General features: G+C 57.5%; 4 annotated features.

Annotated features, from left to right (window-relative positions):
• Positions 8057-8588: an enhancer, noted in NCBI's record as "H3K4me1 hESC enhancer chr9:139525751-139526282 (GRCh37/hg19 assembly coordinates)". NCBI's record gives its function as "activates a minimal SCP1, AML or CMV promoter by ChIP-STARR-seq in primed H9 embryonic stem cells {active_cell/tissue: H9 hESC(primed)}" and the evidence as "EXISTENCE:reporter gene assay evidence [ECO:0000049][PMID:30033119]".
• Positions 8589-9120: an enhancer, noted in NCBI's record as "H3K4me1 hESC enhancer chr9:139525219-139525750 (GRCh37/hg19 assembly coordinates)". NCBI's record gives its function as "activates a minimal SCP1, AML or CMV promoter by ChIP-STARR-seq in primed H9 embryonic stem cells {active_cell/tissue: H9 hESC(primed)}" and the evidence as "EXISTENCE:reporter gene assay evidence [ECO:0000049][PMID:30033119]".
• Positions 9303-9422: an enhancer, noted in NCBI's record as "active region_29318". NCBI's record gives its function as "activates an Ori minimal core promoter by ATAC-STARR-seq in GM12878 lymphoblastoid cells {active_cell/tissue: GM12878}" and the evidence as "EXISTENCE:reporter gene assay evidence [ECO:0000049][PMID:35858748]".
• Positions 9653-10184: an enhancer, noted in NCBI's record as "H3K4me1 hESC enhancer chr9:139524155-139524686 (GRCh37/hg19 assembly coordinates)". NCBI's record gives its function as "activates a minimal SCP1, AML or CMV promoter by ChIP-STARR-seq in naive H9 embryonic stem cells {active_cell/tissue: H9 hESC(naive)}" and the evidence as "EXISTENCE:reporter gene assay evidence [ECO:0000049][PMID:30033119]".

Raw genomic sequence — 18531 nt, 5'->3', positions numbered from 1 at the left:
GATCACAAGGTCAGGAGTTCGAGACCAGCCTGACCAATATGATGAAACCCCATCTCTACTAAAAATACAAAAATTAGCTGGGTGTGGTGGCAGGCGCCTGTAATCCCAGCTACTCAGGAGGCTGAGACAGGAGAATTGCCTAAACCCGGGAGGTGGAGGTTGCAGTGAACCGAGATCGCGCCATTGCACTCCAGCCTGGGCAACAAGAGCGAAACTCCATCTCAAAAAAAAAAAGTAACAAGTGTTGTTCAGGGTGTGGAGAGATGGGAGCCCTTGTGTGATGTTGTGGAATGTAAAACGATGTAGCCACTGTGGGAAGCAATATAGCAGTTCCTCAAACAATAAATAAATGGCCCAGGCGGGTGGCTCACACCTGCAATCCCAGCACTTTGGGAGGCTGAGGCGGGCGGATCACCTGAGGTCAGGAGTTCAAGACCAGCCTGGCCAACGTGGTGAAACCCCGTCTCTACTAAAAATACAAAAAATTAGCTGGGAGTGATGGTGGCCACCTGTAATCCTAGCTATTCGAGAGTCTGAGGCAGAGAATTGCTTGAACCCAGACATGGAGGTTGCAGTGAGCCAAGATCATGCCACTGCACTCCAGCCTGGGTGACAGAGCGAGACTCCGCCTCAAAAAAAAAAAAAAATATATATATATATATAAAATAAATAAATAAATAAGCCCAGTGTGGTGGCTCACACCTGTAATCCTAGTGCTTTGGGAGGCTGAGGTGGGCAGATCACCTGAGGTCAGGAGTTCAAGACCAGTCTGGCCAACATGGTGAAACCCCATCTCTACTAAAAATACAAAAAATTAGCTGGGCGTGGTGGCGGGTGCCTGTAATCCCAGCTACTCGGGAGGCTGAGGCAGAAGAATCGCTTGAACCCAGAAGGCAGAGGTTGCAGTGAGCCAAGATTGCGCCACTGCATTCCGGCCTGGGAGAGAGAACGAGACTCTGTCTCAAATAAATAAATAAATAAATGGGCCCAGCACGATGGCTCACACCTGTAATCCCAGTGCTTTGGGAGGCTGAGGCGGGCAGATCACCTGAGGTCAGGAGTTCGAGACCAGCCTGGCCAACATGGTGAAACCCCGTCTCTACTAAAGATACAAAAAAATTAGCCAGGTGTGGTGGCAGGCCCCTGTAATCCCAGCTATTTGGGAGGCTGAGGCAGGAGAATTGCTTGAACCCGGGAGGTGGAGGTTGCAGTGAGCCGAGATCATGCCATTGCACTCCAGCCTGGGCGACAGGGCGAGATTTCATCTCAATAAATGAATGAATGAATCAATCAATAAAAATTTAAAAAATAAAACAGATGGAAAATTCTGTCCTGAGCACTTGGGGAAGGCAGGGCCAGGCCTTGCACTGCCGCACTCCCGGCTGGTGTTTTGACACCTGTGCTTTCAGCTCCCAGGAGCAGAGCTGGGCTTCACTCATCTTCCCCCTCCTCTGGCTTCCCCCCATGTGACTGCAGCCTACGTTTTAAAGATTTTTACATCAACTTTTAATTTCAGAATAGATTTAGACTTACATAAAGGTTTCTCTTCTTTTTTTTTTTCCTGAGATGGAGTCTTGCTCTGTTGCCCAGGCTGGAGTACAATGGCGCGATCTCAGCTCACTGCAACCTCCATCTCCTGGGTTCAAGTGATTCTCCTGCCTCAGCCTCCCGAGTAGCTGGGATTACAAGCATGTGCCACTGTGCCCGGCCTCCAGTTTTTGTACTTTTAGTAGAGACGGGGTTTCACCATGTTGGTCAGGCTAGTCTCAAACTCCTGACGTCATGATCCACCTGCCTCAGCCTCCCAAAGTGCTGGGATTACAGGCATGAGCCACCGTGCCCGGCTAAGACTTACATAAAGGTTTCAAAATGAACCCGAGAGTCCTGTTAAGTTTTCACCGAGGAGGCCTGGGGCATGAGTCCATACAGCAAACTGCAGCCTGGCATGGCCTGAAGGCCACAGAAGGCTGGCCTCTTGTCACAGGGACTGGGTCCAGGTCACCGCAGCTGCCAGCTGTCAGTTGCCAGTGGCCGCTGATTTCAAGGCAAAGTGCCCAGCGGCCACCACCAAAACTGCCTCTGCGCATCACTTCCGTTTCCATGAACGTTGTGCAGCTCCAGGTCTGAATTTGTCCTGGTTCTAAGCCAATTTCAGAATTGTGAATGAAAGCCAATTAAGATTTTTAAGTTGAATTTGTTGCAATGTTGTCTCGTGACAGTTCCATACAGCCTGCACACAGTTTCTCTGATTATTTAACGTCTTACATTCGTGAGATGTGTTTGCTACCATTGATGAACTGGTATGTACCGGCAACTCTCTGTAATTTTTCTTTTTTTTTTTTTTTTTGAGATGGAGTCTTGCTCTTTTGCCAGGCTGGGTTCAACCTGGGAACCTCCTGGGTTCAAGCGATTCTCCTGCTTCAGCCTCCCTAGTAGCTGGGACTACAAGCACGCACCACCACACCCGGCTAATTTTTGTATTTTTAGAGATGGGTTTCACCATGTTGGCCAGGATGGTCTCGATCTCTTGACCTCATGATCCGCCTGCTTCGGCCTCCCACTGCGCCCGGCTGCATCTCACTGTAATTTTAATTTGCATTTCTCTGGTTCTACAGATGTTGAGCACTTTTCTGTGTTTTTTTATTTTTATTTTTTATTTATTTAGTTTTGAGTTGGAGTCTCACTCGGTCACCCAGGCTGGAGTGCAGTGGCAAGATCTTGGCTCACTGCAACTTCTGCCTCCCTGGTTCAAGTGATTCTCCTGCCTCAGTCTCCCAAGTAGCTGGGATTACAGGTATGCACCACCACATCCAGCTAATTTTTGTATTTTCAGTAGAGACAGGGTTTTACCATGTTGGCCAGGCTGGTCTTGAACTCCTGACCTCAGGTGATCAGCCTGCCTCAGCCTCCCAAAGTGCTGGGATTACAGGTGTGAGCCACCGCACCTGACCCCCACCTTTCTATGTTTATTGGCCATTTGTGTAATATCTTTTTTTTTTTTTTTGAGGCAGGGTTTCACTCTATTGCCGAGGCTGAAGTGCAGTGGCATGATTTTGGCTTACTGCAACCTCCGTCTCCTGGGTTCAAGCGATTCTCCTGCCTCAGCCTCCCAAGTAGCTGGGATTAGAGGGCCCACTACCACACCAAGCTAATTTTTGTATTTTTAGTAGAGACGAGGTTTCACCATGTTGGCCAGGCTGGTCTTGAACTCCTGAGCCCAGCTGATCCACCCACTTCGGCCTCCGAAGCTCCTGGGATCACAGTTGTGAGCCACTGCACCCAGCCATGAATGCAAATCTTTTGTCAGAGATATCTACAATGAATATTTTTCCCAGTCTCTGGATTGCCTATTCATTTTCTTCATGGTATCTTTTGATCAGCAAAAAAAAATTGATTTTGATAAAAATCTACTTTGCTATCAATTTCTTTTCTTGTATGTCTGGTGTTTCTGTGACCTGAAAGAAGTCTTTGCCTACCCCAAATTGTGACGATTGTCCCTCGTCTTCTTCCAGAAGGTCTTGGATTTTATGTTTAAGTCTATGTGACTCATCTTGATTTCATTTTTGTGCAGAGTGAAATAAAGTTAAGGTTCAATTTTTTTCTTTCTTTCTTTCTTTTTTTTTTTTGAGACAGCCTGTTGCCCAGGCTGGAATGCAGTGGCACAATCTCGGCTCACTGCAGCCTTCACCTCCCAGGTTCATGTGATCCTCCCACCTCAGCCTTCCGCTCCCAAGTAACAGGGATTACAGGCATGTGCCGCCATGCCTGGCTAATTTTTGTATTTTTAGTAGAGACAGGATTTCGCCATGTTGCCCAGGCTGGTCTCAACCTCTCAGACTCAAGAAATCCTCCTGTCTCAGCCTCCTGAGTAGCTGGGACTATAGGTGCGTGCCACCATGCCCAGCTAATTTTCAAAAATTTTTTTATAGAGACAGGGTCTTGCTGTGTTGCCCAGGCTGGTCTCCAACTCCTGGGCTCCCAAAGTGCTGGGATTACGTGAGCCACGACACCCGGCCTTAAAAGGATTTTCTACATGTCGGATCATGTATGTCTTCCTTTCCTTTTCCTGCCCTATTGCCCCGGGACTTCCTGCACGGCGCAGAGGGAGGTGGCGAGAGAAGCCCCCGGCCCTGCTCCCCACCTCGGCCGGGGCCTTCTGTGTTTCACCATCAGCCATGGCTTCAGCGATGGGTTTGGATAGATGGTCTTGTCGGTGTAGTTGGCTCCCTTCCATTGCTGGTTTGCTGAGAGTTTGCACCACGAACGATGACGCATTTTGTCATGATTTTGCCTGAGGGGATTACATGGATTTTTTTCTTATTCTGTTAACATGAATGTGAAAGTTGTCAGAATAAATATAAGGTCACTGGTGTTAAAACAACAACAGGCTGGGCACGGTGGCTCATGCCTGTAATCCCAGCACTTTGGGAGGCTGAGGCAGGAGGATCACCGGAGGTCAGGAGTTCCAGACCAGCCTGACCGACACGGTGAAACCCCGTCTCTACTAAAAATACAAAAATTAGCCTGGTGTGGTGGCATGTGCCTGTAATTCCAGCTACTCGGGAGGCTGAGGCAGGAGAACCGCTTGAACCCGGGAGGCAGAGGCTGCAGTGAGCCGAGATCGCACCACTGCACTCCAGACTGGGCAACGAGAGCAAAACGGCATCTCAATAACCAATAAAACACCACCACCACCACCACCAAACCGTGACAAACAGAGCTGGGCGAGGTCCTGAAGAGATGTGTCATGCCTGTGCCTGAGGAAAAAGACTATGGGCACCACAGCCCTGCACGAAGGCCTTGAGACCCAAACAATGCTTCTCCAAGGACGTCTGCTCAGCCACCGCCTGTCCAACCTCTGACTGGCCTCACCCCAGCTGTTGGTATTTGTAGCCAAGGATAATTTTCAAAACAACATGATTCTCCCCATTTTCCCTTAGAAACCCTCCTCTTCCTTTCCCTACAGGAATATGCACGTAGTTTACAGAGGCCAAGCATTCCCTTTGCAGCTTGCTAGTCCCAAATAAACAGCTCTTCTTTTAGGGAGTCCCTCTCTGTCTGTTAGTTAGCTGGACATGGTAAATTATGCTGATTGACTTTAGAAAGCTGAATCCTGGCCGGGCACAGTGGCTCACGCCTGTAATCCCAGCACTTTGGGAGGCTGAGGTGGGTGGATCACGAGGTCAGGGGTTTGAGACCAGCTTGGCCAATATGGTGAAACCCTGTCTCTACTAAAAATACAAAAATTAGCCGAGCGTGGTGGCGCGCACCTGTGATCCCAGCTACTTGGCAGGCTGAGGCGGGAGAATCACTTGAACCTGGGAGGCGGAGGCTGCTGGGTTGCAGTGAGCCAGAATCGCACCACTGTACTCCAGCCTGGGTGACAGAGCAAGATTCCATCTCAAAAAAAAAAAAAAAAAAAAAGGGGCCAGGCACAGTGGCTCACACCTGTAATCTCAGCACTTTGGGAGGCCGAGGTAGGCGGACACAAAGTCAGGAGATTGAGACCATCCTGGCTAACACGGTGAAACCCTGTTTCTACTAAAAATACAAAAAAATTAGCCGGGTGTGGTGGTTGGTGCCTGTAGTCCCAGCTACTCAAGACGCTGAGGCAGGAGAATGGTGTGAACCCGGGAGGCGGAGCTTGCAGTGAGCCCAGATCCTGCCACCGCACTCCAGCCTGGGTGACAGAGCGAGAATCCATCTCAAAAAAAAAAAAAAAAAGGAAAAAGAAAGCTGGATCCCTTGCCTTCCTGGGATAAACTCCCCTTGGTGTTGATGTATTATCCTCTTTATATATTGCACAATTCGATTTACTTTGCATTTATTTCATTACAACTTTTGTGTCTATGTGTTTAAAAAAAATTATTCTATTTGCTTTTTTTTTTTTTTTTTTGAGACGAAGTCTCGCTTTATTGCCTGGGCTGTAGTGCAATGGCACGATCTCGGATCACTGCAACCTCCGCCTCCCAGGTTCAAGTGACTCTCTTGTCTCAGCCTCCCAAGTAGCTGGGATTACAGGTGCACCCCACCACCCGACTAATTTTTGTATTTTTAGTAGAGACGGGTTTTCACCATGCTGACCAAGATGGTCTCAAACTCCTGACCTCAAGAAATCCGCCCTCCTTGGCCTCCCAAAGTGCTGGGATCACGGGCGTGGGCCACCACGCCCGGCCTCTATTTGCTTTTCAGGCAAGTGTTCTAGAAACTATTTTGTGTCCATGTCTGTGAGGAAAGTTGGCCTGTAATTTCCTTTTCCCATGATATCTCTTCTGGTTTTGAGCTTGTGGTAATGGTGGCCTCGAAACTTGTATTTCTGGGAAGAGTCTGTGTAGAATGGATATTATTTGTTCCCTAAATGTTTGGTTGCATTCACCAGGGAAGACATCTGGGCCAGGAATTGTCTTTGTGGGAAGGTTTTAGTTGTATATGGAATTTCTTTACTAGATCTAGGGCCATTTTGGTGATGAAACTTCTTCTGCCAGATCCAACAATTAGTGTCTTTCAAGGAATTTTTCTATGTCATCTAAGTTGGGAAATTTGTGGTCATAAAGCTGTTAATAAACTTGAGACGTTCACTGTCTCGCTGTCTGTGGGAGGTGAGATGGCGCCTCCTCTCCTTCCTGACACTTTCACTCTGTCGGTGTCTGTGGGAGGTGAGACGACGCCTCCTCTCCTTCCTGACACGTTCACTCTCTCGCTGTCTGTGGGAGGTGAGATGGCGCCTTCTCTCGTTCCTAAACGTTCACTCTCTCGGTGTCTGTGGGAGGTGAGACAGCGCCTCCTCTCCTTCCTGACACGTTCACTCTGTCGGTGTCTGTGGGAGGTGAGATGGTGCCTCCTCTCCTTCCTGACACGTTCACTCTCTCGCTGTCTGTGGGAGGTGAGATGGCGCCTCCTGTCCTTCCTGACACGTTCACTCTCTCGGTGTCTGTGGGAGGTGAGACGACGCCTCCTCTCCTTCCTGACACGTTCACTTTCTCGCTGTCTGTGGGAGGTGAGATGGCGCCTTCTCTCGTTCCTAAACGTTCACTCTCTCGGTGTCTGTGGGAGTTGAGACGACACCTCCTCTCCTTCCTGACACGTTCACTCTCTCGGTGTCTGTGGGAGGTGAGATGGCGCCTCCTCTCCTTCCTGACACGTTCACTCTCTCGGTGTCTGTGGGAGGTGAGACGGCGCCTCCTCTCCTTCCTGACACTTTCACTCTGTCGGCGTCTGTGGGAGGTGAGACGGCGCCTCCTCTCCTTCCTGACACTTTCACTCTGTCGGCGTCTGTGGGAGGTGAGACGACACCTCCTCTCCTTCCTGACACGTTCACTCTCTCGCTGTCTGTGGGAGGTGAGATGGCGCCTTCTCTCGTTCCTAAACGTTCACTCTCTCGGTGTCTGTGGGAGGTGAGACGGCGCCTCCTCTCCTTCCTGACACGTTCACTCTGTCGGTGTCTGTGGGAGGTGAGATGGTGCCTCCTCTCCTTCCTGACACGTTCACTCTCTTGCTGTCTGTGGGAGGTGAGATGGCGCCTCCTCTCCTTCCTGACACGTTCACTCTGTCAGTGTCTGTGGGAGGTGAGACAACACCTCCTCTCCTTCCTGACACTCACTCTGTCGGTGTCTGTGGGAGGTGAGATGGCGCCTCCTCTCCTTCCTGACACGTTCACTCTCTTGCTGTCTGTGGGAGGTGAGACGGCGCCTCCTCTCCTTCCTGACACGTTCACTCTGTCAGTGTCTGTGGGAGGTGAGACAACACCTCCTCTCCTTCCTGACACTCACTCTCTCGGTGTCTGTGGGAGGTGAGATGGCGCCTCCTCTCCTTTCTGACAGTGCTGATTTGTGGTTTCTTCTTTTTGTTTCCTTTGATTCGTCCAGCTGGAAATCTGTGGGTTCTGTGGATCTTTCCGAATCACTCACTCTTGCTTTCCTTGATTTTCTCTGTTGTTTGTCCACTTTTTACTTCATTTCTGTCCACTCGTGTTTTCATTATTTCTTCTACCTTGTTTGTGCTTAATTTTCTTCCTTTAGTCCTTGATGGGGTCTGGAGCTCTGTCCTAAGGGGTCCTGGGTTCCCTGGAGGGGCAGGTTCGTTGGGGAACCCAGGGCTCTGAGTCCTGGCCCAGACTGTGATGGGGACTGAGGGGTGGAGCAAACCGGGGGCTTGGCGGCTTCTGCCCTTACCCAGGCCTCGGTGCTCCCTGGCCCCGGGTGGCTGTGTGCCTCCTCGGCCCCAGACATCCATGGTGGCCCTCCTGGGGATCCGGCAGCTGAGTGGGCTGGACATGGAGTTGTCAGCAGCCACAGGAGGGCAGCACAGCCCCAGGAACAGTCGTATGTGTGATAGAGTGTGTGAGAGCATGTATGTGTGTATGTGTGGGAGCATGCTTGTGTGGTGTGTGTGTGAGCATGGGTGCGTGTGTGCGTGTGTGAGCATGCGTGTGTGTGTGCGAGCATGGGTGTGTGTGTATGTGTGCGTGTGTGTGAGCATGTATGTGTGTGCATGTATGTGTGTGTGTGAGAGAGCATGTGTGCGTGTGTATGCGTGTGACCATGCCTGCGTGCGTATGTGTGTCAGCATGTGTGCAAGCATGGGTGCATATGTGTGCATGTGTGATCATGCATGCAGGTGTGTGTGTGATCATTTGTGCATGTGTATGTGTGAGCACGTGCGTGTGTTAGCACGTGTGTGAGCATGCGGGAGTCTGTGAGCATGCGTGCGTGTGTGTGTAAGCATGTGTGTATGTATGTGTGCGAGCATGTGTGTGAGCATGCATGCGTGTGTATATGTGTGAGCATGCATGCGTGTATGTATGTGAGCATGTGTGCATGTGTGCGTGTGCGAGCATGCGGTAGTCTGTGTGAGCATGCGTGTGTGTGTGCAGGCATGTATGTATGTGTGTGAGTATGGGTGCGTGTGTATGTGTGCACGTGTGAGCATGCATGTACGTGTATATGTGTGTGAGCATGCATGCGTATGTGTGTGTGAGCACGTGTGCTTGTGCGTGAGCATGCGGGCATCAGTTTGTGAGCATGCGTGCATGTGTATTAGTGAGCGTGGATGGGTGTGTGCAAGCATGGGCATCTGTGTGAGCATGTGTGCGTGTGTATGTACGTGTGTCTGCCAGTGTGTGCATGCACATGGAAGCATGTGTGTGTGTGTAAACCAAGTTTCTTCAAGGCATGCGTCTAACAGGGCTTCTCTGTTCCTCCCCATCTAGGGCCCCTCCCCTTCTCAGCCCCCTCCTCATCTGAGCACCCCAGGGCATTGAGGGCTACAGCCCTCCCACACGCAGCCTCCACTTGGCCCGGTGGGTGGCGCCAGGTGTCTGGGGAATGGTCGCAGGCCAGCGTGGGTGGGAGGAGACGCTTTGCTGGAAGACGCTGGAGGCCGATTCACCCCAACCAGTCCCTCTCCAGTCTCTCCTCTGCTCGGGGGTCTTTGACTCCTTCCCCCACTCCCAGAGCCCCTGGCTCAGCTCCAGGAGCTGGTGGGCAGGGGGCACTGCCCAGCCTCTGCCTTGGACAGCTGAACTCAGAAGAGTTGTGTTTTCATTTCCCCTTGGTCATTTGTGAAGCCCTGGCAGGTGCAGGCTGGGAGTGGCTGTGGCCGGCAGGTGGGGGTGCAGGGGTGAGGCAGCGAGTGGTCCTACAGATATGCGGGCAGACATGGGCACAGCGGGACCCAGCCCAGCCTGGGAGGAGTGGGGAAGGGGAGACAGGAGTCTGGGGTCTAGGGGGTGAGAGCTGCTGAGGGGCAGCCTGGGGCTGGGCAGGACAGGCCCATGGGAGCCAGGTTGGGGGTCCAGTGTGAGATTCCCAGCACCAGACCCCAGTCCAGGATGGGTCTTGGGCACCGCAGTAAGGAGACCAGTGGGGGCTGTGAGGAGGAGACGGTGCCTGAGGGAGTGGAGCTGGGGACAGGGTGGTGTCGTCGCCCCCCTCCCCTCCCCCCTGCAACAGGCAGGGCTGGGGCCTTCACTGTGACACGCCTCGGTTGGGCAGCTGGGGTGATGGTGACCCAGCTGTGGGGAGCAGCTTAGTTTGAGAGGTTATGGGGTGCAGAGAGGAACTGTGCAGGCTAAGAAGCATTTGTGCTGTGCCAGGGTGGGTGGGGTGAGGTGTGCCCAATGCCCCAGGTCCCCCGCCCAACAAATCAGAGTCGCAGCATATGGCTGGCAGGGCCTTTGTTTGCCAAGAAGGGAGAAGGGGCTGGGAAGCCCTGACCGGGCCCAGGCTCAGGGGCCTTGGGCAGCCACCAGGCCTGGGTGTCCTAGCTGGATAGCCCTCGGCTGGCCCAGAGTGATGGGTCCTGATGCCACCAGGAAACCAAAGTGCAGAGTGGTGGGCACAGGGCCCAGGCGAGGACCCCAGTCTCCAGGGACCCCCCAGCAAGACAGGCACAGGTGCAGCCGCCTCCACCCTGCCCAGCCCTCTCAAGCCTTGTTCAGTGGCCCCGTGGCTGTTCCCACGATCCATCCCGGGGCCCCACTCCCCAGCTGGACACAGGACAGAGGCGGGGGAATCCCGGACACACAGGTTGCTGGGGAGAGGAGCCGAGGGCCCCAGGGGCAAACCCAGGGCAGGGAGCCTGTGGAGTTCCCGCTTGCTCACCTGTGCCATCAGCTGCAGCTTCTTCCTCGAGGTGCACAGGGCGGTGTCCGAAGCCAGGATTCTGAGTGGCTCTCCCAGTGTTCACAGGACAGGCAGGTCCATGAGGCAGGGTTGCTACCACCAGGCCCGGGGGGCCTGCCCTGCGTCCTTGAGGGGCTGCTGGGGGCCAAGGAGGGTGGGCGGGCCATGCCCAGGCTGGGGGTCAAGGGCAGAGGCCGTGGGAACCTGCGCAGTGACAGGAAACGCTGGGGCCTGATTGATGGCAGCTTCCCTGAGGGAGCAAGAAGGCAGGGGGAGGCGCTCGCCCACAGGTAGGGGGACAGAGGGCCGGCTGGCAGCTGGCCCGGCGTCTGTCCCTGGGCAGGCAGACCCCAGGAGGAGTCCCGGGAGAGAGGGCTGAGCTCTAGCTGGAAGACACAGTGATTGTGGGGCCGGGGGGAGCTGCCTCACCCCATCGCCTTTCTGGAATACTGGGTGAAGACCCCTTGACCGAGATGACACTCCCCTTTCCGCCAGCACCACAATTTCTTCCTTTGGCTTTTAGGAACCTCTCTGGAGACCCTCTTATCCAACCCTCCCTTGTACAGGTGGGGAAACTGAGGCCTGGGGCTCGGGCCAGCCACTTGATCTCCCCGGCAGCCAGCTTGGGCCTCAGCACCCCTGCTCACTGAGTCCCCAGAAAGCTGGACCCAGGCCCCACCGTAGCCGACCCCAGCAGCAGTACTTTCCCCGGAGCCCCAGCCCCCACCTTCCACGCGCCCCGCCCGCAGCCCCCAACTTCCACGCGCCCCGCCCGCAGCCTCCAGGATGTTGCGGGATCTCGTCCAGCTGCTGCCACCTCCGGCCGCTGTGGCCACAGGCACGGCTGCTGGGACCAGCTGGCCTCCACAACCGTCTCTGCGACCCCCCTTTCTTCCTGCCTCTTCTCTCCCGGCCCGATGGCTCTGAGACGCTTTTCTAACCCCTCTCTCGGTCCCCATCTCTGAGCTCTGGCATCCCCTGCGGGCCGACTCCGGCTTTAGGCCCGAACACCAGCACCTGGGAGGCTTGCAGGGCCTCACAGAAATATTTTAATTTCTTTTAAAATCAGGAGAAAAAAACTGAACTTTTAGGGCCAAGAAAATGCTTTAATACATAATATGAATATATTTGTCTTTATGCCAGCACAGACATAAAATATGATGTTGTTTACTACTTTTATTTTTGTGGAGGGGTGCTCAGGAAGATGCCCCGGCCCCATCCATGTGGCGCCGCAGCCCTGGCCCGAGCTGGCCCACCCCCGAGATGGCCACTGTGTTATCACCGCCTTGGCCGGGCCCACCCTGCCTGGCCTTGCAGCCCTGGGGGTGGAGCGAGTCTGTGTCTGTGCCGGGCAGATACAGTGATGGCACCTGCCGGTCTGGTGGCCCCGTCGAGGCGCCTCAAGGGCACCAAGCCCACCCATCATCTCCCTGCCCCATTCTCCAGGTCCTTTGGGCCCAAAGCCTGTGGGGTGGCCCCGTGGCTCCATGAACCTGGGGATCTTCCAGCCAACATCCGTCTCCCGGGGGCAGGGAGGGCTCCCCACGCTGCTGGTGCCAGGAGAGCTTTGAAGCACCCCAGAGGCACTGTAAACCAGGTAATGAGGGTGATTAAATCTCATTCAACTCAGAAAGGAAAAGGATCTTCTTCGGGGTGCCAGGAGCCGGCACCAGCCTGTGTCCTCCACCAGGCGGGGATGACCGTGAGAAGCACGCTAGGACAGGCAGGGCCTCGGCTTGGAGGCTGTGGAGCAGTGCTGATGCCTGCATTGCAATGAGCTTTGCATCCATCTCTGCCACACCTCAGGACGTAGGAACCATGAGTACCCGTCTTTGCAGCTGGGGAAACAGGCTCCACAGTTCCGCGGCTGCACCAGGTCATGGAACCCTTCAGGTGCCGCCACCACCAGGCAATGCTGCCTTCTAGGGGCAGAGCACGGGGCTCCCTGGATGGGCTCAGACTCGGCACTGGGCCTGCCTCTCCCTGGGGCTTCACTACCCCAGCCCCAGCCAGTCCTGGCAGCAGCAGGGAGCTGGGAGCCAGCCTCCAGCCCCTCCCCGTGCTCCAGCTGGGCTTCCTGGGTCCCCCCTGCCCCCAGTCCAGGTGTGGGCTGGGATGGTGTGGGGGGCGGCGAGGTGGGCAGGGCAGGGGGCTGGACACCACTTCTCTGGGCTTTTCTTGAGAAAGGGCCCCTCCAGCCACGCCCTCCTGGGCCGCTATCAGAAGCCAAACACAGAGCCGGGGAGTGTCAATACCTCAGGCCTCCACCTGGCAGCTGGTGCCCGTGAGCCAGGGGCCAGGCGGGAACTCCGTAGACCCCTCTGAGCCCAGAGCTCTGTGCTATTTTTAACACCACTGGGAGAAGTCAGGCAAATAGTGTGGGCCCCTCCCCACAGCCCTGTGACCTCCACCCCTGTGTTTGCACTCTCACTGGGCAAACAGGCGGCGATAAGGCAGAGATTAGAGGATCGCTCAGCTCCCAATAAACAGCTTCTTCTCCCCCAGCATGGGATTCCCAGCACCAGACCCCAGGCTGGCAGCTGCAAGGGCTGAGAGTGCAGGTGCCCCCGCCCTGCCCCCACCCCTGCCCCCGCCCTGCCCCCACCCCTGCCCCCGCCCTGCCCCCACCCCTGCCCCGCCCTGCCCCGACCCCTGCCCCGACCCGTCGTGGCTCTGGCTTCCCGGTCCGAGGCATCTCCGGCACCCCGGGGCACACCACCAACCCAGGAGCCCCTGCCACCCCCGCAGTCCCACCCTGCAGGTGGGCATCTGCCGGACGGGGTTGGGGTTTGTCTCCAGCAAGGGCCAACCAGGTTGGGTTTGGATGGACATGGTTGGAGCTCGGCCACCATGCACCTGCTGTCTGCTTTGCCGTTGCTGCCCCGTCCAGCCTGGCTCTCCACCTTTTGGTGCTGGCTAGGAAGAGTTGAGGTGGTGGAGGGGACGTGCTGACACACAGCAGGCACTTGGCAAGCCGGCGACCTGGCCTCCCAGCCCCACACTGGCCTGCCTGGCTCCCTCAGCTGCCCTCCGGCCTGCGCCTGGCCTCCCTCCTGCACCCGCTCCAGCTGGCCCGAGTTCCCTTGAAAGTGCAGGGCCAGGAGGGGACATGGCAGCCAGGGAGGCATGATGGGGCCCAGCAGAGTCGACAGTCACTTCCAGAGTGGCGGGAGGCGCTCGCCCTCGGCAAATGCCACTCGGGATGGACTCAGTCTGGGGTTTGGGCAGAGTTTGAGTTGGAGATCCGCAGAGCTGAGGCTAAGGTTGGTTTGGAGCCAGGGTCAGTCTGTGCCTGGGATCAGAAGCCAGGCTCTGATTGAGGTCAGAGGTCACCCCGTGGCTGGGATGGGAACTCATTCTGTGCCTGGGTCAGGGCTCAGGCTATGGCTGGGAGCAGAGTTTAGTTTGTAGCTGGGATCAGGGGTCAGTCTATGCTTTTGACCAGGGCTCAGCTTAGTCTGGGATCAAGGGTCAATTTGGGCTGGTGATGGGGGCTCAGTCTGTGACCAGGGTGAGGGGTCGACCTATAGGTGGCCTCAGGGGTTAGTCTGCGGCTGGGGTAAGGACTTGGTGTATGGCTGGGATGAGGGTTCAGTGTGTGACTGGGATCAGAGGCCAGCCTGTAGCTGGGATTAGGGATGAGTCCATAGCTGGAGTAGACACGCAGACTGTGTCTGTCAAGACTTAATCTGTAGCTCGGATCAGGGCTCAGACTGTAGCTGAGATTAAGGATCAGACCAGGGCAGGGGCTGGAGTTCAACCTGGTCTGGACAGTCTCTGCCCCTGCCCCGGCCGCCCATTTTTCCCCAGCTGTCCTGGGTCAAGTTGCTGCAGCTGAACTTTGCTTCCTCTTTGGATCAGAGCGTTCTTGGCCAGCACCCAGCAGCTGATTCCCCAGGGGAGAGGCCCCGTTCCCGCCAGCCACATTCCCACGCCGGCCTGGGAGGCTGCCAGAGAGTGGCTGGGTGTCGGGGGCTGCCTCCCAGGGGACCTGCCTCTCACCCTGCCCAGCTCTGAGGACAGCACGAGATTCCTGCAGATGGAGCTCCTAACCTGTGAGTTCCCTTCCCCAGAGCCCAGTGTCCCCGTTCCCGCCTTCCTGCCCAGGGCGAGGGGCCGGGGAGATGGAGGGCTTTGCAGGCCTGCAGACCAAGGTGGGAGAGGCCGGGCGCTTCCCCCAGGTTCTGTGACTCAGGAAGCCAGCCATGGGTCTGTATCTCCCTGGGCCTCGGTTTCCCCAGGAACAGAGTGGGCAGGGGTGATGGCTGGACGGGAGCCATCCAAGGCCCCTCTGGCCTGTCTCTCATCCCAGTGTGACAAATCTGACTGGCCAAGGATGCACGGGGGCCTTGGCTGCTCCTGGGGGCTGACAACAGCCTGGGTCCCTATAGACCCATTGAGGCAGGTGGGTCCCAGGAGGAGCCAGTTTGTCCTTAGAACCAGAGGCCCATCCCAGGAGTCTGCGGGTGAGACCTCCAGGTGAGGCATCACCTCCAGCGGGTTCGTGCAGGGGTCGAGGCCTGTGTGGCCAGAGGGGCCCGGCTGGCTCTGAGAGACTGGCTGGCGGCTGGAGCAGGTCTGGGGCAGGTGCACCGTCTGAGGGTGACTCCGCCCAGCTCCCAGCTCCAGGGGGCTGAGGAGCCCCAGCAGTTCTGGGTGGACAGCTCTGAGGTCAAAGCCTGGGGCTGGGTGAGGCTGAGAGCCAGGGGCCACAGGGCTCCATCCCCAGTCCTCAGGCTCAGGGGCCCTTAGGAATTCCTGACTGCACGTCCTGAAGGCACAGCCACCACACAGCTGGGCAAGAGTCCCTAGTGTGCGGCTTCCTCCTGGGAGCCTCCCAGCAGCTGACGTGGCCCCGTCATCCCACTCTCCAGAGAGTAGCGCTGAGGCTGAGATGCTGCTGACCATCCCAGGCCCTGACAAGGCGTGGTGTGTGCTGTGCGCACAAGATCCCACATGGGTGCTCTGACCAGGTTCCCCAAATTCAAAGGGAGAACATGGAGGACCAGGGAGGGACAGGGCCTTGGCCCAGGTCTCTAGGTCCAAGTTTTGGGAGCTGCCTCTCTCTGATGCCCCCTGTCCTCTCTGGGGACCGAGCAGGCTGGGACATGTGCAGTGGGGGCTGGGCCTCCTGCAGCCCCACGAGATCCTGCAGCTGCTCAGCCGGTGTTGCAACCGGGCTCCCCCACTCCAGACGTGTCCCAACCTGCAGCGGCCCCTGCCCCTGGGCCCAGAGGAAAGCCTCGCCCGCCTTCCCAGGGCCAGGACAAGCCCCAGCGAGGCCTGGCCCCCGTGCCAGCTCTGAGCGTGAGAAAGTGCTGAGCCGGGGAGGAGGGTGTGGAGTGGCTCCAGGTGAGTGCCCACCTTCTTGAGCCCAGCCCCCAGCTTCTGCCCTTCCTGGCCGCTGACCCTGGCCCTGTCCTGGAGCTGGGGCAGAGAGTACCAACCTCCAGCCCCTCGGGGGCTGGCCCCTGGCTGCAGCTCCCACGCCTGCCCCTCAGCTCTGCCCCTGAAGCAGTGCGTGGCTGCACACAGCTGGCGCTAAATAGCTGTCTCCATCAGGACAGGAGGCAGAGCTGGGTGTCTGGCCATGTGGCCAGCAGGGGTCTGTAGGGGTGGAGGAGGCTCGCCAGAGCAGTTCCTTCCTTGTTGGAGTCACTGATCTGGGCTGTGGTGGGCCCTGGGTCAGGTGTGGGGCCTGGGCCACCCCAGAGATCCCTGCTGTCCTGCTGTCCCAAGAGCCAGACACAGAGCCCAGAGTCTTTGGGCCTCCTTGGCAGCCCTGGGGTTCCCAGGATAGGGAGCCCCACATTCCCAGCATTCACCCAGGGCCCCGGGAGCACCGAGGCCTGGTCTCTGGGTCCCAGGAGTGGCCCCGGGTCCTTCGTGGGCCACTGGAGAGAAGGAAGGAGAAAGGAGGAGGGGCCCAGAGCCAGGAGTGCACGGGGCCTCCCTGAACCCTGACCCTGAGGGGCATGAGCCCACGGTGGGTGTGGGGCAGGCGCCCCGTCCTCTGAGCAGCCAGCTGTGGAGGATGCTGCCCGGGCATGTGCCCGCTCTCCACACCAGGAGCTGCCTGGTGGGAACCGGCCGGGGCTGCCCTGAGAGCCCAGCAGCATCAGAGGCGGGTCCCCCATCACGGGGCTCTGGCTGGAGCCTCCTAGGCCCACTGGCTTCAGACATATTGTCTGCTTCACACATGGGGAAACTGAGGCACCCAGCAAGGATGCAGCTGACCTAGGCCACCCAGTCTCTGCACCACAAAGGGGCTTCCAACGGCCCCAGAGCCCACCAGGCCCATGAAGGCCCCTCAGGACTCCCTGTAGGGGGCTCAGCCTTGGCCCCAGCAAGACTGGGGAGACACCAGCTTTGCCCAGGAGCTCCGGGGAGGCTCCCGGGAAGAGGCGTTTCATGCCCCAGGCGGCTGCAGACCGACCGATGTGCCTGAGAGACAGCAGGGGCGGCACCGTGGCTAGGGAGAGCGGTGCCCGGGCAAAGCCCCTGCACAGAAGAGAAGATCCAGGCTGCTCCCCACGTGTCTGTGTGATGAGGCAGAAGAGGCAGGGCGCAGGTCCTGGGGGCTACAGGACTCAGGAGCCTGAGGCATGGGGCTGGGCCTGGCGTCCCGCCCGTGCCCTCCCTGGTGGGCCGCAGGTCTGTCCTCACCTGCCTTGGGCTGTGCTGGGCCCTGACCAGAGGATCCCCTGGGCCTGTCTGCCCCCCAGCCCTCGGCTCACTCAGCACTCTAGTCCTGGACCCTTCACCAGCAAAACCTGGCTTCCACAAGCCTCAGTGTGAGGGGCTCCTGTCGGACCCTGGAGATTCCAAAGTGGTTTTATTTAGGCCACTCCAGGCGTGGCAGCACCCAACGACCAGGGGAGAAGATGTCCCAGGGACCACACAGCGATGGCACGTGTGACCGGGCACTGATGGGGACAGCAGGGTGGCTCGCTGGCCTGGCTCTCGGAGGAGTCACTCGGGATGAGGTGGGGGGTTGGGGGACAGGCAGGGGCCAAGGACTCGAACTTCATCCCTCGGGCAGGGGTGGGTTTCGCTGGTGCACGAAGACGTCCAATTCACACCTTAGAAAGATGCCCCGGGTCCTGTGAGCAGTGCTCAACCTGCACAACCACACGCTACCAGGTTCAGCCTGGAGGATGGCAGGGGCCTGGTCCTGGGGTAGAGAGGAGGTTGCCCACCTTCAGGAGCCTCCTGATCCCATGGCCAGCCCCTCCACCACTGAGCCCACCTCGAGCATCCTGCCCCGGCAGCTTCCCCCACAGGGAGGGGCCACCCTTGTTTATGGCCAGGTCACCACGGCTCCTTCACCATCTGCTGCAGAGGAAGGAAGGCCCCCGTTACCCACCCCACCTGCGGCGGCCGGCGCTGGGAATGGGAAGCCGAGGGGACCAGGCCACCTGTTCCCAGCCTAGGAGGAGCAGGGGGAAGGTGAGGCTGGGCTCAGCTAGACATGAGCCTGTGGGCCTCCAGCCAGGTTACCCCCACCCAGCCCCACGAGCCCACCCAGCCCTGCCTCTTCACCCTGGCTCTGATCGTGTCCTGGAGAGGCGTCCTGAGCCCCATACGTGCCTGGGCAGAACGCACCATCTCCCCCGACACCCAGGGTCCCTGGGGTGAGGGCAAGACTCCACACCCAAGGGTCCCTCCCCTTCCCCCATGAGCCGAGAGGGGCTGTGCTGGGGAGGTCAGCCTGGGGACAACGTGGGCCCTGGGAGACGTGGTTGTTCACAGCCTTCCCTGCCTGTGAGAGGTGGGATGGCTCAGACTCTAGCAGCCGTGGGCCAGGCTGGGGCTGCCACAGCCCACGCATCTGGTGAGGGTCCCGGCAGAGCATCCTGTTCAGAGGCGGGAAAGCCACAGTACGGGGGCCTTGGTGGACCTCACTGCC

Source organism: Homo sapiens, chromosome 9, assembly GCF_000001405.40.
Source record: "Homo sapiens chromosome 9, GRCh38.p14 Primary Assembly".
Classification (NCBI taxonomy): domain Eukaryota; kingdom Metazoa; phylum Chordata; class Mammalia; order Primates; family Hominidae; genus Homo; species Homo sapiens.
The sequence above is the reverse complement of the archived record's forward strand: the minus strand, read 5'-3'. Positions and strand labels throughout refer to the sequence as shown.